The sequence below is a fragment of the Homo sapiens genome, chromosome 19, assembly GCF_000001405.40.
Source record: "Homo sapiens chromosome 19, GRCh38.p14 Primary Assembly".
In the NCBI taxonomy this organism is placed as follows: domain Eukaryota; kingdom Metazoa; phylum Chordata; class Mammalia; order Primates; family Hominidae; genus Homo; species Homo sapiens.
The window spans coordinates 41613384-41639884 of record NC_000019.10 but is presented as its reverse complement, the minus strand read 5'-3'; the positions used below and the strand labels follow the sequence as shown (position 1 = coordinate 41639884).

At 48.1% G+C, this 26501-nt stretch overlaps 1 protein-coding gene and 1 pseudogene across 28 annotated transcripts; both read left to right on the top strand.

Moving 5' to 3' along the window:
- Positions 888 to 1443, top strand: DNAJC19P3 (DnaJ heat shock protein family (Hsp40) member C19 pseudogene 3; annotated as a pseudogene).
- CEACAM4 (CEA cell adhesion molecule 4) lies at positions 12811 to 26449 on the top strand. 28 transcript variants are annotated; one of them, XR_001753593.2, is made up of 8 exons: positions 12811 to 12985; positions 13925 to 14284; positions 18117 to 18234; positions 19258 to 19310; positions 19589 to 19674; positions 20174 to 20215; positions 21110 to 21206; positions 21801 to 26449. XR_001753593.2 is itself a non-coding variant. In XM_047438093.1 (7 exons), exons 1-7 carry the CDS (start codon positions 12922 to 12924, stop codon positions 22414 to 22416), a joined length of 681 nt encoding a protein of 226 aa, XP_047294049.1. In that variant the 5' UTR covers positions 12811 to 12921; the 3' UTR covers positions 22417 to 26449. The 28 variants fall into 28 exon arrangements, 21 of the variants coding, with proteins under 21 accessions (XP_047294049.1, XP_011524654.1, XP_011524656.1 ...); XR_007066550.1 differs by lacking the exon at positions 21110 to 21206 and having other exon boundaries at positions 21597 to 21904; positions 22405 to 22555; XR_007066549.1 differs by lacking the exon at positions 21110 to 21206 and having other exon boundaries at positions 21597 to 21904; positions 22377 to 22555.
- Positions 26450 to 26501: the final 52 nt, after the last annotated feature.

The window sequence follows — 26501 nt, the reverse complement described above, 5'->3', positions numbered from 1 at the left end:
AGGACAAAGACTCTGTAGGTTAAACTGTGAACCTGAGACTCAGGACACAACATACCTGTGGTGAGTAAGGGGTCAGAGCTTCCTGGCCAGTCCCAGGCTGAAGATGTCCAAGGGCAACAGGACCTTCACTTTACTCAGTGTCACAGGTAGTGACACAGGACTCTATGAGAGTGGAACCCAGAACCCAGTGAATGCCGACTGCAGCGACCCAGTTAGCCTGAATGTCCCGTGTATCTTCTCTTCTTCTGGGGCTCAGGCTGCCAGCTCAAATCCACATAGCCAGAGCTCAAACCATTCACTTCCCCTTGGGTCCAAGAACACAGACCCCTGCCCTTGGATACCCAGGCTGGCTGTGACTTCCTGCCCCAGGCAAACCCGGAAGGGCACAGCCCTGACCAAAAATAGGTGGAGAGGGACTGCTCCTGTCATGGGAGGCTTGGGGTCCACAGCCTGTAATGGGAGAAACAGGTGAATGTCTCAGACTCAGGCTCAGTGAACACAGCGGAAATTTGGTTGGTACTTTCTCAAACAATGTTGTGACTTGGCTTAGAGGGACACTGTGGCCCTTCCACAGACCAGGAGTTTTCCTTCCCTCTGATAACATGTTCTCACCCTCAAACACAATTATGGTCCATCCTCTGAGGGAAACGATGTTGCCACCACTGTGGAGATGGTGCAACTGAGACAAACAGTGGTATCTGGTGTTGAATGGGACCTTAAGCCAACAATGACAACGTCAGTCCACAGTGTTTAGTATTTATGGACTCAATGCAAGTCACCTGATTTCATTGACTATTCACAACAGCTCAATAAAGTAAATGCATCATCACCACCACTTTAAAAAGGAAAAAGGTGCTTGGGCAATTTGTGACTACTGTGGTCGCTGCTGCATTGCTCTCTGGTAAAGCCAAGTAGGTAGTGGGTGCGGCCTCTGGGCTGGGATGATCCACCCTCCTGGTGGAAGCAGGGGAGCCAGGCTGGAGCCATGGCCTGTGCAGTGGTAGCAGCTGTACCGACTGCTGCTGCAGGATTTGCAAGCTGTTATGTTTGGCAAGCCACGAAGCACAGAAAGCCTCAAGTAAAACAAGTTTTTCAAAGTCTACCAAAATATTTTTCAGAGGTTATTACGACAGAGGTGGGGTTGAACCCAAAATGACAAAACAGGAAGCAGCACTAATACTAGATGTAAGCCCTAACGCCAATAAAGGAAACAGTAAGAGGTTCTTATCAACATGTTATGCTCTTAAATCACCCAGACAAAAGAGGGTCTCTTTATATAATAGCCAAGATCAATGAAGCTAAAAATTTACTGTAAGGACAAGCTAAGAAATGTAAATGTATAGTAAATTTCAAGTTTATATTAGTTTATGTGTACGAGTACCAACTTTTTATAATAAAATGCCTCCAAGCAGAGAAAAATTTGATTTTAGATTTAATAACCTATAACAGAGGACTCAGATGTCTGCTATTTCACAGTCAGCCTGAAAGGATCATTTTGCTGGAGGTAAGCTGCTGGTTCAGAAGGAGGAGTGAGCCACTGACCCTGTGGACAAAGAGAGGAGATGAATGACTGAGAGTTTCCTGGGGCCTGGGGCCATGTTCCTTCCCAGAGATCCCAGCCAGCTCTCAGGTTCCACCATGAGGTGTGCAAAGGAAACCATCCAGGGGATGGCCCTGACCCTCTGCAGAAGATCAAGAGTCTTTGCTCAGGTGACAATCTGTAAGGATAAGGTGGCACCTCTCTTTCACCCCAGACCACCCTATGGTGACCTTGGAGTTCTCCCAGACATCTCTGTGGGACCCACAATAGGAACTCCTTCTCAGCTCGCAGATTTTGCAACCTCATCATCAGGTTGAATTTTTCTCCTGTGGACTTTTGTGAGATTCTTTCTTAGCACTCTTTGTGGCTTTATAAAGATCAGTCCCTGTTCCTCATATAAACTTCTATGTATTGGGGGGAAGGCAGGTGTATTAGGCCACTTTTGTGTTGCTATAAAGAAATACCTGAGACCAGATAATTTGCAAAAAAAGAAGTTAATTGGCTCATGTTTCTGCATGATGCACAAGAAACAGGGTGACAGCATTTATTTGGCTTCCAGTGAAGCTTTTACTTGTGGCAGAAAGGGAAGAGGAATAGATATAACACATGGTGAGAGTGGTAGTAAGTGGCAGGGGGGAGGTGTCACTCCATGACAGTCTCACCCTGTCATTCAGGCTGGAATGCAGTGGCACAATCTCAGCTCACCGCAACTTCTGCTTCCTGAGTTCAAGCTATTCTTCTACCTCAGCCTCCCAAGTAGCTGGGATTACAGGTGTGCACCATCAAGTCTGGCGAATTTTTGTATTTTTAGTACAGATGGAGTTTCACCATGTTGGCCAGGCTGGTCTTGAGTTCCTGACCTCAGGTAATCCTCCTCCCTCAGTCTCCCAAAGTTCTGGGATCACAAGCATGAGCCACTGTGCCTGGCACCACACACTTCTAAATAACCAGACCTTGTACAAAATCACTCACTATCATGAGGACAGGACCTAGCCATTCATGAGGGACCTGCCCTCATGACCCAGCCAGGCCCCACCTTTAACATTGGGGATTACATTTCAACATGAGATTTGGAGGGGAGAAACATCCAAACTACATGAGCAGGCTTGCCAGTTGTGTTCATCTCTGAGGCCAGGGCAGCTTTTCATAGAATAGGAAGGGCATGTACTTTTCAAAAAATGTATTATGGAATGAAGATTGCCCAGCTCAGTCCTCATAACTTCTGGATTTGAAGTGACTCCAATCTAAGGATTTCTCAATCTGAAGGGCCCATCAGACTAACAGCGGATCTCTCTGCAGAAACTCTACAAGCCAGAAGAGAGTAGGAGCCAATATTCAACATTCTTAAAGAAAACAGTTTTCAACCCAGAATTTTATATCCAGCGAAATAAAGCTTCATAAGCAAAGGAGAAATAAAATCCTTTATAGACAAGCAAATGCTGAGGGATTTTGTCACCACCAGGCCTGCCTTACAAAAGCTCCTGAAGGAAACATTAAATATGGAAAGAAAAAACCAGTACCAGCCACTGCAAAAACATACCAAAATGTAAAGACCATCGACACTATGAAGAAACTGCAACAACTAATGTGCAAAATAACCAGGTAACATCATAATGATGGCATCAAATTCACACATAACAATATTAACCTTAAATATAAATGGGCTAAGTGCCCCAATTAAAAGACACAGACTGATAAATTGGATAAAGCGTCAAGACTCATTGGTGCGTGAGACCCATCTCATGTGCAAAGACACACTTAGGCTCAAAATAAAGGGATGGAGGAATATTTACCAAGCAAATGGAAAGCAAGCAAACAAACAAACAAAAAGCAGGAGTTGCAATCCTAGTCTCTGATAAAACAGACTTTAAGCCAACAAAGATAAAAAAAAAGACAAAGAAGGGCATTATATAATAGTAAAGGCATCAATGCAAAAGAAGAGCTAACTGTCCTAAATATATATGCACCCAATACAGGAACATCCAGATTCATAAAGCAAGTTCTTAAAGACCTACAAAGAAACTTAGAATCCCACGCAATAATAGTGGGAGACTTTAACACCCCACTGTCAATATTAGACAGATCAACAAGACAGAAAATTAACAAGGATATTCAGGACTTGAACTCAGCTCTGCACCAAGCAGACCTAATAGACATCTACAGAACTCTCCACCACAAATCAATAGACTATACATTCTTCTCAGCACCACATAGCACTTATTCTAGAATTGACCTCATAACTGGAAATAAAACACTCCTCAGCAAATGCAAGAGAATGGAAATCATAACGAACAGTCTCTCAGACCACAGTGCAATCAAATTAGAACTCAGGATTAAGAAACTCACTCAAAACTGCACAACTACATGGAAACTGAATAATCTGCTCCTGAATGACTACTGGGTAAATAACAAAATTAAGGCAGAAATAAATAAGTTCTTTGAAACCAATGAGAACAAAGACACAACCTATGAGAATCTCTGGGATACAGATAAAGCAGTGTTTAGAGGGGAATTTATAGCACTAAATGCCCACATGAGAAAGTGGGAAAGATCTAAAATCGACACCCTGAAATCACAATTAAAAGAACTAGAGAAGCAAGAGAAAACACATTCAAAAGCTAGAAGAAGACAAGAAATAACTAAGATCAGAGCAGAAATGAAGGAGATAGAGACACAAAAAGCCCTTCAAAAAATCAATGAATCCAGGAGCTGGTTTTTAAAAAAGATTAGCAAAATAGATAGACCACTATCCAGACTAATAAAGAAGAAAAGAGAGAAGAATCAAATAAACACAATAAAGAAGGATAAAGGGGATATCACCACTGATCCCACAGAAATACAAACTACCATCAGAGAATACTATAAACACCTCTATGCAAATAAAGTAGAAAATCTAGAAGAAATAGATACATTCCTGGACACATACACCCTCCCAAGACTAAACCAGGAAGAAGTCAAATCCTGGAATAGACCAATAACAAGTTCTGAAACTGATTCAGTAATTAATAGCCTACCAACCAACAAAAGCCCAGGACCAGACAGATTCACAGCTGAATTCTACCAGAGGTACAAAGAGGAACTGGTACCATTCCTTCTGAAACTCTTTCAATCAATAGAGAAAGAGGGAGTCCTCTCTAACTCATTTTATGTGGCCAGCATCATCCTGATACCAAAACCTGGCAGAGACACAACAAGAAAAGAAAATTTCGGGCCAATATCCCTGATGAACATCGATGCGAAAATCCTCAATAAAATAGTGGCAAACCACATCCAGCAGCACATCAAAAAGCTTATCCACCATGATCAAGTCAGCTTCATCCCTGGGATGCAAGGCTGGTTCAACATATGCAAATCAACAAACGTAATCCATCGCATAAAGAGAACCAATGACAAAAACCACATGATTATCTCAACAGACGCAGAAAAGGCCTTTGATAAAATTCAACACATCTTCATGCTAAAAACACTCAATAAACTAGGTATCGATGGGATGTATCTCAAAATAATAAGAGCTATTTTTATCAAACCCACAGCCAATATCATACTGAATGGGCATAATCTGGAAGAATTCCCTTTGAAAACTGGCATAAGACAAAGATGCCCTCTGTCACCACTCCTATTCAACATAGTATTGGAAGTTCTGGCCGAGGCAATCAGGCAAGAGAAAGAAATAAAGGTATTCAAATAAGAAGAGAGGAAGTCAAATTGTCTCTGTCTGCAGATGACATGATTGTATATTTATAAAACCCCATCATCTCAGCCCCAAAATTCCTTAAACTGATAAACAACTTCAGCAAAGTCTCAGGATACTAAATCAATATGCAAAAATCACAAGCATTCCTATACACCAATAATAGACAAACAGAGAGCCAAATCATGAGTGAACTCCCATTCACAATTGCTACAAAGAGAATAAAATACCTAGGAATACAACTTACAAGGGATGTGAAGGACCTCTTCGAGGAGAATTACAAACCACTGCTCAAGCAAATAAGAGAGGACACAAACAAATGGAAAAACATTCCGTGTTCATGGATAGGAAAAATCAATATTGTGAAAATGGCCATACTGCCCAAAGTAATGTATAGATTCAATGCTATTCTCGTCAAGCTACCATTGACTTTCTTCATGGAATTAGAAAAAACTACTCTAAAGTTCATACGGAACCAAAAAAGAGCCCATATTGCCAAGAGAATGCTAAGCAAAAAGATCAAAGCTGGAGGCATCATGCTACCTGACTTCAAACTATACTACAAGGCTACAGTAACCAAAAGAGCATGGTACTGGTACCAAAACAGATAGACCAATGGAACAGAACAGAGGTCTCTCAGTGAATATTGAGAACACATAGACACAGGGAGGGGAACATCACACACCGAGGCCTGTTGGGGGGCTCAGGGGTAAGGGGAGGAACAGCATTAGAGAAATACCTAATGTAGATGACAGGTTGACAGGTGCAGCAAATCACCATGGCACATGTACACCTATGTAACAAAACTGCACATTCTGCACATGTATTCCAGACCTTCAAGTATAATTTGAAAAAAAAAAAAAAAAAGAGCTAGGTCCACAGGTGAGGGTGTGTCCTCCTGAGTTATTGAGAAAATAAGAAAAATGGCTGCTATCAGGATAGGGAGAGGCTGCAGGTGCTGAGGGCACCCACTCTGCACAGGTCATGGGGTCGTTGTGGGGAGGAGGGGGTTCCAGGCAACTGGGTGCTAACTCAGGGATGGACAGATTCCGAGTGTGAGAGCTCGGCTCCTCCAGGACACATACTGGGGGGCCTCCATACTGCCCCTGGGGTCTGCCCCAGCCCTGCCCTTTGACCACTCTAAAGCAACCTCGACTTCCCAAGCCCAAGAACAAAAGGACAGAGGGTACACCCTTTACAACCCCACCTTTTTCTGCATTGCAGATGAGAAATGGAAAGTACTTCTGATTGGTTCCCTCCTGCAACAATCAGACTGGTCAAGGGTCTAGTCTTCATTTGCATAGGGATGTAACTTTGTAACTTCACTTCAGCCTCTGATTGGTTGCCTTCCACGACCAATCAGACTGATTGCAGGCCACTACTTTATTTACATAGGGAGTAAGCCAAGTAGCCAATGGGAAACCTCTAGAGCATATTTAAACTCCAGAAAATTCTATAACCAGCACTCTTGAGCTGCTTGCTTGAGGCCACTTCTACTCTGTGGAGTGTACTTTCATTTAAATGAATCTGTGTTTTTTGCTTCATTCTTTTATTGCCTTGTTTGTGCGTTTTGTCCAATACACCAAGAACCTGGACACCTTCCACTGGTAACAATATTATCCTCTCTGCAATTGTATTCATGGAAAACAATTAAAATTCACCCCATGGGTCCAGTTTGTGGTCTGTGATATGATTTATTTTCTAATTCTTATTTTTATTAGACGAGCCAGTGCTCCTGGAGGCACAGGTGAATCCATATCTTGGAGTAGGAGAAATCTGTACTAGCTCAAAATATCCATAAATGTCAATATAAAGGAAGCTTTGAAAACATTTCAGGGAGTGCTGAAAACAGGGAGAGATCTCGAAGAATCCTCACTGTGCAAGAGTCATAATTTGGGAACCAGAAGGTAATTGTGAAGTATACATAAATGTTTGTGATGAGATGTAGGAGATAACATTAAAGGAAAAAGATACTATATCATGGGGCTGGGCACGGTGGCTCACGCCTGTAATCTGAGCACTTTGGGAGTCTGAGGCGGGTGGATCATGAGGTTGGCAGTTCGAGACCAGCCTGGCCAACATGGTGAAACCCCCATCTTTACTAAAAATACAAAAATTAGCTGGGCGTGGAGGCACGTACCTGTAATCCCAGCTACTCAGGAGGCTGAGGCAGGAGAATCACTTGAACCCGAGAAGCGGAGGTTGCAGTGAGCCGAGATGGCATCATTGCACTCCAGCCTGAGTGACAGGGCAAGACTCTGTCAAAAAAAGAAAAAAAAATATATATATATACCATATCATTAAGTCAAAGAAGTGAATCAGTCAAAAACAATGGATGGAAACACACCAGAAAAGTGGACAATAGAAAAAAATACCCCAAATACAGAAGTATTAAGTTAAAAAACAAAAGTTATAGAATAAATACATATGAACTCAACTCTAAAGTTTAAAAAGATTAGGCCGGACACGATGACTCACGCCTGTAATCCCAGCACTTTGGGAGGCCAAGGCTGGAGGATCACTTGAGCTGAGGAGTTCAAGAACAGCCTGGGCAACATGGTGAAACCCTGTCTTTACAAAAAAGTACAAAAATTAGCCAGGCATGGTGGTACATGCCTGTAGTCCCAGCTACTTGGGGGGCGGGGGCTGAGGCAGGAGGATCACTTGAGCCTGGGAGATTGAGGCTGCAGTGAGCCAAGATCATGCCACTGCACTCCAGCCTGGGAACAAGATGAGACCCTGTCTCAAAAAAAAAAAAAAAATTAAGATCACATTCAATGTGAAAACCACACATAGGCTATATGTTGTTTATGCCATATAATTTAAAAACACTACGGAGGAGTTTCCGCATCAGTGGCTAAAACAATTCCCTGTTGGTTACATATCTGCCTCATATTCCATTGTGTAAATGTATATAACCTGTTTAACTATGCTAATGTAAATGTAGGTTGTTTTCAGTATTTTGCTGTTAAGCCATCACTGCCATGAGAAACCGTGATTAGGTGTCATTTTTCATGAGTGTGTGATAAATTCCTTGCAGTGCAGTTTGGGAGGCAAAGAGAATGCATATGTTAAATTTTGATAAGTGTTGACAAATTTGATGCCACACAGTTGGTACAAATTTTCATGTCACCCAACAAAGTTAGGAAGTACAATTTTTACCAAAGTTCTTCCCACACGTTGTGTTATCAAATGGAATTTTTCAGCATTTAAAACCACTGGGCCATATTATGATCCTCACCTTTCCAGGATAATATCAATGTCCGTTTCTCCTGCATGTGTGCGGGTATTTTGTTCATATGTCTACGAATCATTCAAATTGTTTTTTCTTCTGTAAACTGTTTATATATTTGCCTACTTTTCTACTAGACTTCAGTCTTTTTAATTTTATTTATTCTTTAAGTATTAACAGATGTGAAAGTTGTCAGAGTCAAAATGAGTCACTAGTGTGAAAAAAAACTCTGACAAATAGAGCCAGAGAAGACCATGAAGAGAGGATCCTCATGCCTGATAACAAAACTATCACAAAAGACTCTGCAAAAGCCACAAGTTTATACAAAGGCCATCACAACCTTATATGAAAACTACTTCTGCAAGGACATCTGCCCAGCAACTGCCTATAGAACCTCACAGTGGCATCATTCTGGCTATTGATCTTTGTAGCTAGTTTTTTTTTTTTTTTTTCAAAATGACTAGATAATAATCCCAATTTTTTCCTTTAAAAACTCGAATATGTAGATCATTTTACTATGGCACATGCATTTCCATTGAAATGTGCTACTCCCAAATAAACATCAGTTTCTCATAGAAAGCCTCACTCTGTTTGTTACCATATATGGTGTCAGAAGTGGGATCTGGGAAAGATCACTATCAGAAGAAATCTGTGATCTTTGAACCAGTGTGCACTACTCACTTGAGAAGTTTGAGCTCTCTGCTTCCACACTCACCTTTCCTGCCCTGACAAGTCTTTGCTCAAGCAGAGCCTCTTTTTGGTAGAAGCTCTTGACTTTATTTGGAATCTGATTTGGATAAGGCTGCCTTAGTAAAAGACCATACATTTCTCCTGGGATGATAAAAAAAAAAAAAACTTTTTGTCTTTTCTAGCAAGTCCTTTCTGAGAGAAAGGCGTATATCTTTCTAGATCACGTACTCTGGATTCTACAAAATTTACATTCTGCCTGTGAGGCAAGTCTATTCTGGTGAATTTACTTCCATTTTGGCCTGTGTGCCTAATTTAAATACTTTAAAAATCTGCATGCCTGGGTTAAAATTCTTGTGAATGCTCTTATCTGGATTTCTTTTTATTTGGTTTGACTCTTTTCCCCTTGCTTGCTTCTGAAAATCATCCCAGAACACAAAAAAATAGACATTCTAAATGACGGGCACAAAATGGCTAATTAACAGCCACTAGCGTGGTTGCCACCATCTAAAACACTGGTACAAATGCCTGACATTCTCTGGCAGGATTTGTAAAATTTTCTTCACTTTCAAGAGATTAATAAGAAATGGAATGGGGCTCTCAAGCATTAAGGCATGCCAGGTTTTCTGGGGCTCCAGCTGGCTACATTTTATGGTTCTTTCTTGTGCACATTTTAAAGTTTATGAGCAAAATTACATCAAGGAAAATTCAGTACTCAATGATCATCATTCAACCTGTTTTAAAAAGCCCTGCATCTATAGGGTGGAAATGTAGAGTCTTCTAAATTCTCTATTTTTTTTTCTCTACCTACTTTGAATCTGCTGACTTTTCTACTGGTGTTGAGATAAAACTCACTGCTTATGGCATTCTAGCCCAGAGTTTTAAAAAAGAAATCTTGAAGGGCTTTAAAATTAATGGCTTTACAAATTAAACAACTCCATGATAAGAAACAACTTAGACACCTTTAGGAAATGTAAATTTAAGTTTGTCTAACTAATAATTGCTTATAATGGAGCACAATTAAAAATCAATAATTAAAAAAATACATGGTTATAAAAGTTAGGCTCTCAGATCATACAGGTCAAAATCTTGAACTCAGAGCAATAATTTAAGGTGTCTCTGTCCGACATAAACTTTTTTCTTCTTTTGCCATGCAGAGGCAAAAAAGAAAAAGCCAGGAAAAAAAGCTAAAATCCTTCCTCATCCACATTTGTTAATCAAGCAAACCACATCACCACCACCCGCCCCCCTCCAACCCACACAAAAAATCTAGTTTAAGGCTAGTTGGAGATTTTTTTTTCTTATACAATTCAGCCAGTTCTAGCTAAAGTGTAAGCAATTGAAAATTTAATCCTAAACTCATGTGAAACAGAAAAAAAAAAGATGCTGAAACTGTAGAGGTTTCATTTGTTTATTTGTTTATAAGTTACACTGCCATTAGAAACTGCTTTACCCAAAATATTTCCCCCAGCCTTCATTATATTACCTATAGGGGCAAATAAAGTTTATCCATGTTAACGATTCCAATTTGTCAGAAATACAATTGGATCCAGTTGACTTTAATCAACTAGTGAGTTTGTATTACTATCTCATCACTAAAATTCTAAAATGAAAGCTGTAAGATTTTTATTTGTTTGTGGATATGTGTTTAGGTGTGTTTTTGCATATGTACATGTATTATGGTCTATATTGTGTCTACATGACAAAATCCACCTTAGTTGGCCAGAAACGCCTTAATAAACTCTATTTGCATTTCCTTAGAGAAATGAGCATAAGAACATGGCTTTTACCCTAGTAGCATCGGGAGGGAATTCAGGGTCTTTCTAACAGTGAGGGGCAAACCCAATTCATTCCCTGACATCATTCACTGACATTCCCTCCAGGCTCTAACATATGTCTTTCTCACAAACACACCAAAACTGACACAAACTCCGGATATTCGATCCCAGGTGGATCTTCCACCAGGGCAGAATGACCACAAGAAAGTCAGGGAGTGATTCCCCAGCCTCGAGATCCCCAGTATTTGGGACATCTGCCTATGGTCCCTGCAGACATTTCACCAGGGGATCCAGGGGAACTTCTCCTGCAGGAGGGGACAGGATAACCCAGGATCTGCCTTTGTTTCCATCTCAGAGGGACTGAGGGTCACGGGGCCTCCCCTGCTCTAATACAGGAACCAGGTATCCCTTGCAGCCTGCAGGTAGGAGCTGCCCCAGCTCCTGGGCCCTGTGGAGAGGCCTGGGGCAGGTGACAGACAGGGACACAGATGACCTGGAGGCGGAACTCCCAGTGTTGTGATGGAGGAACACAGAACACACCGAGGACCACCTCCCAGGCCAGTGCCCTCTCTCTAAACCCCCAGAGACACCTCCCTGGGCCCTTCTTTTGAAACCTTGGGGACGGATGGCTCTTTCTGAGGCAGCCCATCCGCCTGCAGGACAGTTCTCCCAAATCAGGACCAGGAGTGCTCTGGACAACTCTCGTCCTCTCCCTGAGCTCATCCTGCACTGCATGGAGTTGGACATCCTGGGGACCCACAGTGAACAGGACCAAGGATGACCTGACCCTGCAGTCTGGAGGTCAGAGCCCACCTCTGCCCAGGGGCCAGGGCCAACTCATACCACGTGGACCCTGGTCAGCATCCCTGGGGAAGCCCCTGACTTTTACCACAGGGTTCCTCTTGCTCTCCAGGGGCAACATTGCACGCAGACAACACAGGAAATGGATTCCCCTGGACAGGAATCTGGCTTTGCTAAGGAGGTGGAGGTGAAGCCTGGTTTCCATACTTTGCTCCAGCAGGCCCTTCCAGTCCCTCCCATGTGCCTGCTCTGTCTCTCCTGATCCTTCCTGGAGCCTCTGAGGATCCTGCTCTGCCAGGATTCTCTGCTCAGTTCTCCACTTTCTCCTGGTATCATGCATGGGGAAGGTACAGTGACAACAGGACAATCACCTTCACAGAGGACAGAGGCCACCCGGGATGGTAAGGGAGAACATGCACAGGCCCTAAGCCACAGCTCAGCCAACAGAAACGGAGAGGGAGGATCTCCCTGAATCCCTCCTCAAGGACAGCAGAACCCAGAGCCACCCACCTCCCTCCACCACAGTCCTCTCTTCCCAGGACATGCAGGACACCTCCCTCCACATCCAGGAGCTGGGGATCCTCCTGAGACCCCCAGGCCTGGATCTCTGTCCCTGGGTCAGAGGCAAGGCTGGTGACACTGGAGAGAGAGGACTGGTCCCCCCCGTAGTCGCCCCCCATTTTCTATCCCACAGAGCCACCTCTGTCACCTTCCTGCTGGGTATCATCTCACACTCCCTGAGTATTGGGGAGCATGAGGAGACCTGGGGGCCCAGCTGGGTCTCTGTGTCACAAAAGGAAACAGTTCCCCAAGTTTGGGAGACCCCAGAGTACCTCTGTTTGTGGTGACATTCCCAAAGGGTCAGTGCAGGGGTGACAAGTCACCCTCTCTGGGGACAGGGGACTCCACCAACCCTGCTTCTCAAAGTGTGGTTAGGAAACTGTAATGTACACAGAAGAGAAAGGGGAAGGAGGGACAAAAAAGGCAGAAATGAGAGGGGAGGGGCAGAGGGGTGACCTGGGAAGAGCCCCGCCTCTGCCCCTGGCCCTGGGAAGTGCTTCTGCCCGGGAGGAGGCTCAGCACAGAAGGAGGAAGGTCAGCAGCCCCGACAGCCGACAGTCACAGCAGCTCTGACAAGAGCGTTCCTGGAGCCCAGCTCCTCTCCACAGAGGACAAGCAGGCAGCAGAGACCATGGGCCCCCCCTCAGCCGCTCCCCGTGGAGGGCACAGGCCCTGGCAGGGGCTCCTGATCACAGGTGAGGGGAGGACTCTCTGGGAGTGGTGGGAAGAGGGAGCACAGAGACTGACTGGGGTCTCTTGGGTAGGAGGGGATAGAGGGCTTCTGGCTGGGGTCTCCTGGGGCTCTGAGAGGGGACTGAGGGCCTCTGTTGGAGGCTGGATAAGGGAGAGAACATCAGAGAGGGGCAGGGGTCACAACAGGAAAATCTCAGTGAACTGGAATTGGTAAAAGGCAGGAAAATCTCAAGTGTTCTCTCGTCCTGGTTAATCATCACTGGCCACTACATTTTGAAAAATGATAATAACTATACCAGATGACACTTCAAATAAAAACATAACCAGGGCATAAAACACTGCTCTTAGCCAACAACCTCAGACACTGGGAAATAAACCTCAGGACTTGGAGGCCCTGAGAATGCTCATGAACTCATCTACAGGAGTCTGCAGCCTGTGCCAGGCACTGGGGTGCAACCAAGATCACACAAGTCCCCGCCCTCACAGAGCTCACGCTCTCATGGGGAGGAAGACAAACACCTAAAGAGATCTAGAATGTGAGGTCAGGTGCTGACAAGAGCCCTGGAGGGAACAGAGCTGGGAAAGGTCAGAAAGGGAAGACCCAGGGTCTCTAGAGGAGGTGTCAGGGGAGGGGTCTCCCAAAAACACCCTGATGTGAGCAGGATCTGAGGGCAGTGGGGAGGGAGCCGTGCAGACCCCTGGGGAAGAAGATTCCACCAGGGAAATGCCAAGGTCCAAGCTGTTGAAGGAATGGGGGTCATGCTGCTGACCCAGGGACACACACACACACACACACACACACACACACACACACACACACACACACACACACACACACTCCAAGGCTGAGGGATGAGGAGACCTGCTGAGGACCCAGGGCCTTATCTTTCCATCCCACTCCATAGGTCCCAGTATTGACTGATGCTGTCTTCACCTCCTAGCCTCACTTTTAACCTTCTGGCACCCGCCCACCACTGTCCAGTTCACTATTGAAGCCCTGCCGTCCAGTGCTGCAGAGGGAAAGGATGTTCTTCTACTGGCCTGCAATATTTCAGAAACTATTCAAGCCTATTATTGGCACAAGGGGAAAACGGCAGAAGGGAGCCCTCTCATTGCTGGTTATATAACAGACATTCAAGCAAATATCCCAGGGGCCGCATACAGTGGTCGAGAGACAGTATACCCCAATGGATCCCTGCTGTTCCAAAACATCACCCTGGAGGACGCAGGATCCTACACCCTACGAACCATAAATGCCAGTTACGACTCTGACCAAGCAACTGGCCAGCTCCACGTACACCGTGAGTGATTCCCCCATACCTCTGGGTGCTGGCGGTCAGTTCTGCTTCACACACATGAGATTGTCAGGCCTGGGCTGTGCCTGCATCCCCCTCTGCATTTTGTCCCGTGTTGAGATTTGGGCATTTAGTGCAGGACACACACATGGTAGGTAAACTTCAACAGATCAGAATTCCTTTCCTGCATCCAGGCCCTGCAGACACTGATGGCGGGGGCGGGGGGGCCTCAGCAGGGGGAGGTCAGTCTCAGCCAAGCACCCCATGCCCTCCCCATGAACCTGACCCTGAGAAAGACCCTGGAGAACTGGGTCAGGGCCTGGCCTGAGGGCGTCCTGGGAACCTCACAAAAGCCCAGCCTCAGGACTCCTGACTCCGTGTGACCCCGGGAAGCCTGTGTCAGGGCTGGGGTGTGGTCTCCTGGGCAGGGCTTACTGGGAGCAAGGATTTACCAGATGTCTGCGGGCTGTGGTTCCTGAAGCTTCTCATCAGTGAGGGCTCAGCTCCCAGAGTCTCATCTAGACAAGGACAGAGCCTACCACTTTCCCTGGGACTCAGCCTGGAGAGGGCAGGGGGACAGGATTACTAGGGCATTGGCCCCCTGAATGAGGAGCTTAAGAGATGCCCTTGGGCAGTCAGTGGCCCAGGGGTAGGAACAGAGGGGAGAAAATGTTCCTGGCAGCTTCTTGTCCACCGGGGATCATGCCCAGGGGTGCTCTCCCATGGAGGCAAATAACAGATGCTGTTGATGTGAACACCTCCTCTGTGCCAAGCTTCATGTCAGATCCTGTGAATAATTTAAAGTTCATTCACAGACAAAGTGGCAAGCCTCAGACCATTTTCCATTTACATATTGTATGGAGGGGAAACTGAGGCACAGAGAGATACAGACACCGGCCACGGTGGGCAGATCGCAGCTGGCAGAGTCACATGAGGGCTGTCTGCAGCTGCTGCCACGTCCTCTCCTTCATCCCTGGTGCCTTACTAGGTGTCTGTGGACCTCAGAACAGCCACTGGTTCGGATGTTTTCTTCTTAGGTGTCTACAGCTCGGAGGGGGAGATTCTGGTCTGGAGAGTTATGAGTAAATACAGAATTAATCAGTTTTTTCTTAACTAAATCACCTGCCTCAACAATCAGTCAGTGCTGGGGAAGTTCAGGCCTCCTCGCTCAGGTCCACACCCCGCATCTCTGGACATGAAATGGTTTCGTGTGTTTTCTGATGTGTGGGTATCATTCCAACAGGAGGATAAAGGGGAGGACTTTGCTTTCTCTCCCCATTCACACCCTGCACCAGCCAGGGCCCAGTGTGAGACACATACTCCGTAGTTCTCTCATGAAGGAGGGAGGGAATGAATGAAGGAATGATCTATAACCTCTTCAGAGACAGAGACCTGGATACAAGATCCTAGGAGGTTCTGGGCCCAACGTGAGACACACACTCTGTAGTTCTCTTATGAAGGAGGGAGGGATTGAATGTAGGAATGATCTATAACCTCTTCAGAGACAGAGATGTGGATACAAGATCCTAGGAGGTTCTGGCCACACCTGTTTTCTGTCCCTCTAGAGCCTAAGACCCATGTCTCATTCATCTGGCCCGTTTCTCCTAAATCTGCCCCTGGGAGCTGAGTCTCATCTGACCCTGGGGCTGCAGGGCTGTGGGAAGGTTTTCAGGGGAGGGATCAGGCTTGCGGGTAGTCCCACACGTTTGCCTTACACCCTGGAGCTCTACCTGGTTCTCACTATGAATATCCCATAATAATCCCCCCTATCCTTTCTGGGGAGTAGAAAAAAAGTAAATATTTAAAAATATGCCAGAGCATCTGTTCTTCTTAGCAAGTTCAGATAGTTATTAGTTAGCAGGAATAAATCGTTATTTTACCAGAGCCTCACCTGCTGGGGGTTTATGGGAGCCTAACTGACTGAGGGGGGTGGGAAATATCCAACTCCAGCCCCCTCTAGCCATCATGTCCCACCTAAAGGAGAGAAAAAACTGAGAGGCACTTGTGACATTCACAGCCCAGGGCACAGACTCTATCCAGGACCACAGAACCCCTCCCTCCCCCCACTCACCACCGCATCACTGAACGCCTGCTCACCCAAGTTCCTGTTGCCCAGTACATCATGTCCTGGCTTTCAACAAAAACTACAAGACAGACTAGAGGCAAAAAAAAAAAAAAAAAAAAAAATGCAGTTCGAAAGACAGAACAAGCATCAGAACCAGATGCAGATGTGGCAGGGATGTGGCAGGGATGTTGAAATTATCAGACCAGGAATTTAAAACAACTCTGGGGCCAGGAGCGGTGGCTCATGCCTGTAATCCCAGCATTTGGGAGGCCGAGGCAGGCAGATCACCTGAGGTCAGGAGTTCGATACCAGCCTGGCCAACATGGCAAAACCCCGTCTCTACTAAAAATACAAAAAATTAGGCAGGCATGGTGGTGGGTGCCTGTAATCCTAGATACTCGGAAGGCTGAGGCAGGAGAATTGCTTGAACCTGTGAAGCGGAGGTTGCGGTGAGCCTAGATTGTGCCACTGCACTCCAGCCTGGGCAACAGAGCGAGATTCCATCTCTAAAACAAACAAACAAAAAACAATACTGGCTAATATGCTAAAGGCTGCAATGGAAAGCATAGACAATGTGCAGAACAGACGGATGCTGTGAGCAGAGAGATGGACAGGCTAAGAAAGAATAACAACAGCTACTATATCTATCTATCTATCTATCTATCTATCTATCTATCTATCTATCTATATATATGTATATATATGCTAGAGATCAAACTCACTGTAACACCTGGATCTCAGAGTGGTTGTGAGGATGTTTATTAGGAGATTAAAGAGATTAAAGCAGAGTTATACACAGGGCGAGAGCTCAACTGATGCTATCAACTAGTATTCTTATTTTTTTGATGTTGTTATTGGCAATAAAATCAGGAACAATGCAGTAAAAATTTGGTTTTATCATGTACGAGTTCTGTGACCTTCCTTGACTTACTGAGGTACTGTAAGTCTCAGATTCTAACTCTGCAGATGGCGGTGATGCCCCTCTCCCTCAAGGTGATGTGAGGATGAGATGAGCTGTAGGTAGGTTGGTGCCCACTGTGCCTGGCACATGGAAGACCCCTGAAAATAGTCAATGAACATCATCCCCGCTCATCAGCATGGAGTTGACAGTGAGGGCTCGCTCTCTGTGACAATCATGGAATGGAAAAGAAGAAACAAGAGGAAGACTGGGCGCAGTGGCTCATGCCTGTAATCCCAGCACTTTGGGAGGCCGAGGCGGGCAGATCATCTGAGGTCAGGAGTTCAAGACCAGCCTGGACAACATGGCGAAATTTCATCTCTACTAAAAATATAAAAATTAGCCTGGCATGGTGGCACAAACCTGTAATCCCAGCTACTTGGGAGGCTGAGGCAAGAGAATCGCTTGAACTTGGGAGATGGAGGTTGCAGTGAGCCGAGATTGCGTCAGTGCACTCCAGTCTGGGTGACAGAGCAAGACTCCATCCAAAAAAAAAAGAAAAAGAAAAAAGCAACAGAGGGAAGAGGTGTGACATGAGAGGAAGAAGGGATTTAAAGGTACAGGAGCAGGGCGAGGTGCAAGCACCTGTGGGAGAATGTAGGAGTTGGTACATCCCAGTGTGTCAAGTCTGAGACACAGAAAATGGTGCAACCGTGGAGAGCAAGGGAGTCAGCTATGAGGACAGCCCAACAGACCACACTCAGGCTCTGGAGCATTTCCTTCCTCCCTGACTATGCCCCTGCCCTGCAATGCCTCTTATGGTTTCCCTTGGAACAAACTTGGGCCTTGTCCCCTTTGCCTTCCCCTTTCTGCAGAAAACAACGTCCCAGGCCTTCCTGTGGGGGCCGTCGCTGGCATCGTGACTGGGGTCCTGGTTGGGGTGGCTCTGGTGGCCGCCCTGGTGTGTTTTCTGCTTCTCTCCAGGACTGGAAGGTACCGCAGCTTTTCCCCAGCCTCCTCCCACCCCTAGGCTGACCCCAGTCAGGGAGGAGGGAGACCCCGCCCTGTATTCAGGGCCAGGCTTTCCGCATCCTCCCAAGGAATCCTTCTCTCTCATTCCATGGCTCCTCCCTTGCCAGCTGCTGATCCTAGGCTGCCTCTTCCTTTATGAATGTGGCACAGTTAAGGTTGCACCCCTGAGTGCTGTCCTAGTTCCCTAACACAGCAAAGCCACAGCTGCCTGGAGGGAGGAAGGGAGGGAGGGAGGGAGGGAGATAAGACGGGAGTGCTCAGAACCTGGTACCTTCTGCTGTTCATTGAATTTACCCACCCAGTGAGGAGGGATTTGCAGGCTTGAGATCCATGGTGGGGGTCCTGGGCATGGTCACGCAGTGGGGAGTGGCAAAGCCTGGACAGGCTGGGTAGGGTCAGCACCCCATCGTGATTGATGTCCCTGAGGTGTGAGATGGGAGAACCTGGACCTCAGGACCTGCTGTCCTTTATGTCTCTTGCCAAGGGGTGGAGAGAGAGAGGACAAGGCCATTGCCCCATTTCAGCATCTCCAGGCCTGAAAGGAGGGTCTGGCCATGGCAGGGATACTGAGTTCTGGGAGAATATGATACATGCTCCTTGCCTCCCCATGCCCCCAGCTCCCCCAGTGTCCTGCACACACAGCCGGCCCTGCTTTCCCTCTGGGGCCTTGACCCTTCCTCTCAGGCAAACGCAGGTGGTCTGATTCCCTCCCTGAGTCCTCAGTCCCTTTCCTGGGTCCCTGGGTCAATGTTCTCCTCACCCGGCATCTGCCTGGGGGGGTCCTTCCTCTCTGGCCAGGACAGACGTGACTGCTTAAGGCCTATCCTCAGCTCCCCGTCCTCGGCCGCTCCTACCACGAAACTGATGGAGACAGGAGGCCTTCACTCCAGTCCTTGAAAATGGAGTCCCTTCCTTGTCCTTTATTCTGCCCCTAAACCTGTGATTTCTCCCTGCACCCTCATGAATAATCCTGACCTTTCCTAGGGCCAGCATCCAGCGTGACCTCAGGGAGCAGCCGCCCCCAGCCTCCACCCCTGGTGAGTGTCCCTTCAGCCCAGGTGTGGGAGCCCCTAGGCCTGCCCTACGGTGTCCACTCCTGCCAGTCACCCCCTGGGGGCCTCTGACCCTTTCTTTGGGGCTGCAAGGAGGATGTCAGGAAACATGACACAGGGGACCCCGACTGTCTTGTTCAGACTGATCTGTGGGCTCTGGGTCGTGGGTCACCTCCTCGACCTCAGCTGCTCAGGTCTCCCCTGGGAAGAGGCTCCCTCTCCCTGATTCTCTGGGAGCTGAGGACCCCTACACTCTCCTGCAGGAGGGGCCCAGGCTCTCCTCCCACCCTGCTGCTCACTCCTGTCTCTGTCCCCAGGCCATGGTCCCTCTCACAGATCCACCTTCTCGGTAAGCCTGTTCCCTCCCCAGCCCTTTTCTACTGGGGTCCCAACAGTGCAGGCTCAGGGCAGGGGGACCATCAACCCCACAGCACAGCACTGACCCACCTTTCCCCAGAACAGTCAGGTCAAAGTGAGTGCCTCCGGCCAGGATCCGGGCCTCTCTACAGGGCCAGGACCACCCACGCCATGTGCTGACCCCTCCCCGGGACCCTCTACACCTGAGGAGAACCCTGGAGTCCAGCAGGTGCAGAGTGGACACTGGGACCATCAGTCAGAGGCCCACATTAACAAGGGTGCGGGGTGGGCCCAGCCAGGACAGGGGTCAGGGTGTTGTGTCCACACTGGGAGGCTGAGCTCAGGGGCAGAGCTGGTCAATCCTGAGGGGAAATGAGTGGAAGTGGAGGCAGGGAAGTAAGTCCTGGCCGATCAGAGACAGGAACCTTCCAGGCTGGGCTTCCGTGACCCTCCCTCCCTGTCCCCTGACATCTCCTCTCTCCCCTGCCCAGGCCCCTCTACCCAGCCCCAGAACAGCCACTCCCATCTATGAGGTGAGTGTGGGCCATGGATGTTCTGGTCCCGCAGGCTCCAGGGGACCCAGGATCTGCCCCCACCAGCACCTGGCTGAGCTCAGATTCAGGAAAATGCAGTGAAAATGAGAACAGGTGGTGGTGAGCAGAGGAGGGAGGGGCCTGGGAACAGGGACCCCCTGAGCACAGCCAGGTTCAGCCCCAGAGAAGCCCTGGGTGGGCCCAGAGCCTGGGAGATGCCAGACACTGTTCTGAGAAGGCTACAGGGGTTGAGGCCTCTTCTCTGTTTTTACAGGAATTGCTATACTCTGATGCAAACATTTACTGCCAGATCGACCACAAAGCAGATGTGGTCTCTTAGGTTCCTCTGGGAGCTGCTCTTGTGGGTTGATGGAGCGTCCCCGAAGCTCCCAGCCCTGGGGACGGGGAAGGACATGGAGCCTGAGCCAGAGAACCAGCTCTGAGTCCTGAGGAGACACAGGCCTGGGGACAGGGAGGGATGGGAGTCCCTGCTGAATATCTGGAGACCCTGACAGGTTGCCCTGGGCTCTGGGTGGGCCGGGACAAAGGCCTCTCATCACCACAGGAAGCGGGGGCTTGCAAGGAAAGTGAATGGGCCTGTGGCCCACCCGGGGTCACCAGGAAAGGATCTGAATAAAGAGGACCCTTCCTCTCATTGGCTCTTTTTCTGCTCACGGGAACTTAGCAGAAACTCACCTGAAACTCCGTGTCCATTCTCTCCCGGGTCACACAGGGAAAATATCTCCACCTTGTCTCAACCACAGTCTCTCTTCCCTGGGAGGCAGAAATAGGGGTTGGGAGTCAGGCTGGGGTGGGCCCTACACAGGAAAGGGCAAGATTCACATGAGCCCTGCCCAGCCAGCCGAGCGCTCAGCTGTCCTCACACTACCCCAGGGACCAAGGCCATGCACAGCCCCAGCCTGGGTCCCTCTGTGAATGCATGTGGGGTCTCAGGAGCACAGAAGATGGGGCCATCTGATGTCCACAAAAGGTGAGCAATGCGGGAGCAACCATGGGTGGTATAGGTTGCGGCTGTGGCCCCTACGCAGCCTCCAGTGTCCTGACCCCTGCTGCCCTCTTCACCCAGGCCCTGGAGGCCCAGTCTATCACTGTCCTCCACAAATGAACTTACCTGTCCCCAAATCCAGGATCCTGTGTGCTTATACCTGGCCACTAGGTTCTCCTCTGTCCCAGTGGCTACTGCTCAGGACATCTTTATCCCTGGTGGGGCACAGAGAGGGGCTGTCAGAGCAACCAAGATTAATACAGACGCATAATTCAGTCCTTGAGCACTACCCAGGACTCTGGCCCCTCATTGCTCATCAGTTCCCACTTTACCCCCTGGCATGGATCTCACTGAGCAAGCCAACTCTTTACACAGGAGCATCCAGGTCAGAGGTGCAGGACTCCCCCATCTAAAGCTCATGCAGGCTCCCATGGCGATGGGACAACCTGTCTGCTCCTCTCCCTGGCCCACAGCCCTATCTCGCCTGCAGCTCCTCCACACACCTGGGACAGCAGTTCTCAGCCCTTCCCTGAGGGCCCCTGGAAGGGTGATGATCTCATATAGGTTCACTTGAACCAGGTGCCACCTTCCCACAAGTGAGCTGGTGCCTGCACTAAAGCACAGAGCCACAGTTCCCAAGAGTGTTCTGCCACTGCCACAGGTTGTTCGTCCTGAGATGAGAGGTAAGAAAACAACCCGCAATGGGTTGTTTTATATCGGGATTTGCATCAGGATTTAGCTCTAAATGACCCCTGATCCCACCTGCACACAGCGTCAGATGAGACAAGGTGAGGCCTCTTTAGTTTTCTGTTGAGGCTGTGACAAATTACCACAAGCTTAGTGACATAGAAACCTGAACCAAAGTGCCCACATGGCTGTGTTCTTTCTAGAGGCTCCAGGGAAGAGTGCATTTCCTCTCCTTTTCCACCTCCTAGAGGCCTCCTGCAACCTTGGCTGTGTCCTCTTTCTCCATCTTCAAAGCCAGCAGCACAGCATCTTGAAACTATTCTGTGCCCTGCTTCCATCCCCACATCTCCACCTCCTCCCACCTCCCTCTCTCACTTAAAAGGAAGGAGCCTTGTGGTTATTTTGGACGCACCTGGGATAAACCACAACAACCTCCCCATCTCATGATCCTTCCTTTAATCTGTAAAGTGTCCTTTACCACGTGACATGTCCACAGATCTGGGGATGAGGATGTACACATCTTTGAGAGGCCCTTGTTCTGTCCATCACTCCTCTCAAGGCCATCTTCTCATCATCGTTCACTACAAACTACACATGGGCACCTGGATGGGTTCATCATGACTGTGGCGTCAGTTCCTGCATTAACATCCCCAGCACCCTCCAGATCCTGAGAGAGGGAGACGGAGGGCTCTCCATGCCCCTAGTACCTCTCCACCTTCTTCTTGGTGACATGCTTAGTTGCTAAGAATAACAGAAAGCAGAGGTGACTGAAAGATCACAACTCACCGGCCCTTCAATAGTTCATGGACATCAGCACCACGGACAGTGACTCAGTGAGGCTAATTTCCAGGTGGCAGCAGGGAGCATGCAGATAGGAGGGAACTGCAGGAAAAGCTGCCCATTCTATTCTATATGAGAAAGAGTGTAAGAAAGAGGAAGCTATTACAGGGATAATGCTATTCTTCTCTAATCCATAAATTGCGAAACCTTTGCATGTCTGGATATCATGGTTTTTAGCACATCTGCTGCCACTCCCTGCAGGGCTGCTTGCTGCATCCAGGATGTGGTCTCTTGGGGGGCTCACAGCCTGCTTTGGCCTCATGGTGAGTCTCCCTGCCCCTGACACTCAGGCCACTGTCTCTGCCTACAACATGGTGGGAACCTTCCATGATTAACGTCTGATTCTCTGTGCCTGACCTTTGAAGCACATCCATCACTCAGCCTGGAGCATCCGCTGAGCTCAGCATCCTGCTCCTCCATCCCCAGCTGAGCCCTTGAGGAGATGCTTGAGAGGATCTCCTGGGCTCCTCTGTGAGCTCCTCCAGGCTGAGCCTTGTGCTTGGTGTCAGAGGCCTTTGCCATCTGCTTGTTCTTTCCATAGGCAAATAATCCTCCTCAGGGACAAGTGGGGCCTGAAGATCTGTCTGAATATCTATCTATCTATCTATCTATCTATCTATCTATCTATCTATCTATCTATCTATCTATCATCTATCTATATGTATGTATATATGAGAATGCTTTATTAGGCAAAACTGCATACTATGAACATGCTTTAAAATGCAACAGGATGAGATGTGAAGACATAAAGAACAAGTGTGTAGTGACACATGGCTATCAGAACACACTGAAGAATCCACACCGCGGCCGAGAGCAGTGGCTCACGCCTGTAGTCCCAGCACTTTTGGAGGCTGAGGCAGGCAGATCACTTGAGGACAGGTGTTCGAGACCAGCCTGACCAACATGGTGAAACCCCATCTCTACTAAAAATACAAAAAATTTAGCCGGGCCTGGTGGCTCATGCCTGTAGTCCTGGCTGTTCGGGAGGCTGAGGCAGGAGAATTGCCTGAACCTGGGAGACACAAGTTGCAGTGAGCTGAGATCGCACCACTGCACTCCAGCCTGGGAGATAGAGTGAGGCTCCATCTAAAAACAAAACAAAACAAAAAGAATCCACACTGCTTCCCCGCTTCACTTTACCCAGAAAAGGAATGTTCTAGGCCACTTCCTCTTCAGCACACATCCCCAGGGAACTAAAATAGGTTCACAGTCACCCCCATCTTCCTCATTCCCATCACCTCTTACCCACAGAGGCATCTCTGGTCCTACAGATCCAGCCCTGCCTTCAAGAGGCACAGGTCCAACCCATCCAGTGTCCCTGCTAGTCACACACAGCACTCAGGGTACAATGGAGGGCTTCTGTGCTTTGGATGGGAACAAACCCCACCTCACATTCCCACACCTGAGAAGCCACCAGGGTCCTCTCTGTCCTGTCCTCACACTCAATGTCTGTCCTGGGTCACCCTTGTCATCTCTCCTGGAAATAGGCATGGCTCCTGACAGGTAGGATTGAGGCTTTGTCTTTTCAGGAGTCCCTCCCACTCTGAGCACATGAAACTGCTCAGCTCCATGCAACCCTCTCTCACCAGGGGCCTTGTTCTCTGGGTCCCTGAATACCTGGGTCCATGCCATGTACATTTTAAGAAAAATGACAGTGACTCTCACCCTGACATCCTCACCCAAGGCACGTGTCTGACAAGAATCACCAGGTGAGATACCTGTGGCTCCACACACCTGAGGCTTCACTGCGCAGGGGTGTCCTCATCCCTCTCCTCCCACCCCTAGGGACAGTAAGCACCACAGGCTGCCTTGGACCACCAGCTCCCCCTCCCAGACACAGCCTCAGATCTATACTGACATGCTACATGGAGAGGCTCTGATGAACAGCAGGTATTAGGAAATCCCACCGAACCAGGTGCCACTTGCGGCCCCACTCCTCCTCATATCTGTGACTGGGACAGACACACATAACACACCTCTGTTCACCGCCCAGCCCCCAAGGTCAATCACAGTCTGCTTCTCCCCTAGATCCACTGCTCCCCATGTCTTCCGTCCTCAGCTGCATCCTGGGTGGCCTCCTTGCTGTTCTTGTACCCCAGAGGCAGGTTCCAACCTTTGTGATGTTGCCTGCAATGCCCAAACTTTCCCTTCCCCTTCCCCTTCCCTTTTCCCCTCCCCCTTCCCCTCCCCTTCCCCTCCCCACCCCTATCCCTTCGTCTTCCCTTGTCTTCCCTTCCCTTCCCTATAAAGCCAAACATACCCATCCACCTACCTTGTGGTCAAAGTCATCAGCCTCCTGCTCCACTCAGTGTTCTCTGACCCTGCATATGGAGGTGGTGGCCCCTCCTAGAACACCCACCACTCACTGTCAGCCTTGCGTGGTAATCACAGATTTTGCAGGGGTTACCTGTGTTCAGGTGTGTCACCTGTGGAACCAGAACTCTTGGAAGGACTGGCAGAGGGAGCTGCTTAGGATATCTCAGGGCTCCTGGCATCTGGTCTACCACAGGGCTATTAACAACAGCACTTAGGGACAAGGTGGAGGATGGACGGTTAAGAGGGTAAATATGGATGATGTGTGGGCAAAGAATAGGACACAGGAACACATGCAGTACTCAAATAATTATGCCAAGAAAGGTGAGGACATGGAGATGGACATTCCCATATACTTCTGATGGGACTGCAGTTTAGTCCCTACAGCAACATTGACCTCACCATGTTTAACGCGCACACGCTCTGACCACTATCCTACTTCTGAAGGCCTCCCTGTGCTGTGAGCTCTGAGAAGGCCAAGCTTGCCTGTTCTGTCTCTGCTAAAGCCAGAGACCAGCCAATAGCCCAGCACAGGGTACTTCATAAATACATGTTGAAGGAATGAGCTCCAGGAACAGTACTCCACATGGTAGAGATGTGTGTATGAGGATGTTCACTGCAGAAGGTCATGTCAATGTGACAAGTGACGAGCAGCCTCAAATCCAGCAACAGGGGTGTGGGTAAAAGATCATAGTGTAGCCATGCAATGGAACCAATGAAAAAACCACAATTAGAGCAAATCCACATGTATTAATAAAGGAGGTGCCCTCCATACATGCTGCACCTAACAGAATGTTGCCAAATAAGAATGAAAAATGATGATATTTGGGCTGTAAAAACTAGAAGTCAGCTAAATAAGAATGCATCGAAAGTATTTGTGAATGCTTACAATTTTACAATGCCTTGGCATCCGTTTTGGATGGAAGTTGGACTTTCTCATACCAGAAGCAGGGCTCAGTCACCTTTGAAATAGTTTCCAGTTCTCCACCTCCTTCCAGTTCCTCAGTGTGATTGATCAGATATCTGATTTATACAACTGCCTCCTGGTGACCTCCTCCCTATGGGACTTCCGGATACAGCCCGTATGACTGCCCCACTGACCCCACACCCTGCCTGCTGCAGTGACCACCTCTAATTACCTGGATCTCATGTCTGCTTGCATTAAATCCACCAATTAAAACTCCCTGAGGACAATCTGTTTGAATAATATTCTGTACCCTAATAAAGGCCTTGACCCATGGGTTCCCCCTCTGTCCTCCCCATACTGCCCCTGACCTCTGTGTGTGTGTGTGGGTGTGGGTGTATGTGTGTGTGTGTGTGTGTGTGTCCTCCAGACAGGGCCTGTATCCCCCAGGACCTGTAAGTAATAAATCTTTATTTTCATCTTATGTCTCTCGCAATCATTGGCAAGAGCTCTGCATCTTAAAGATCGCAAATTTA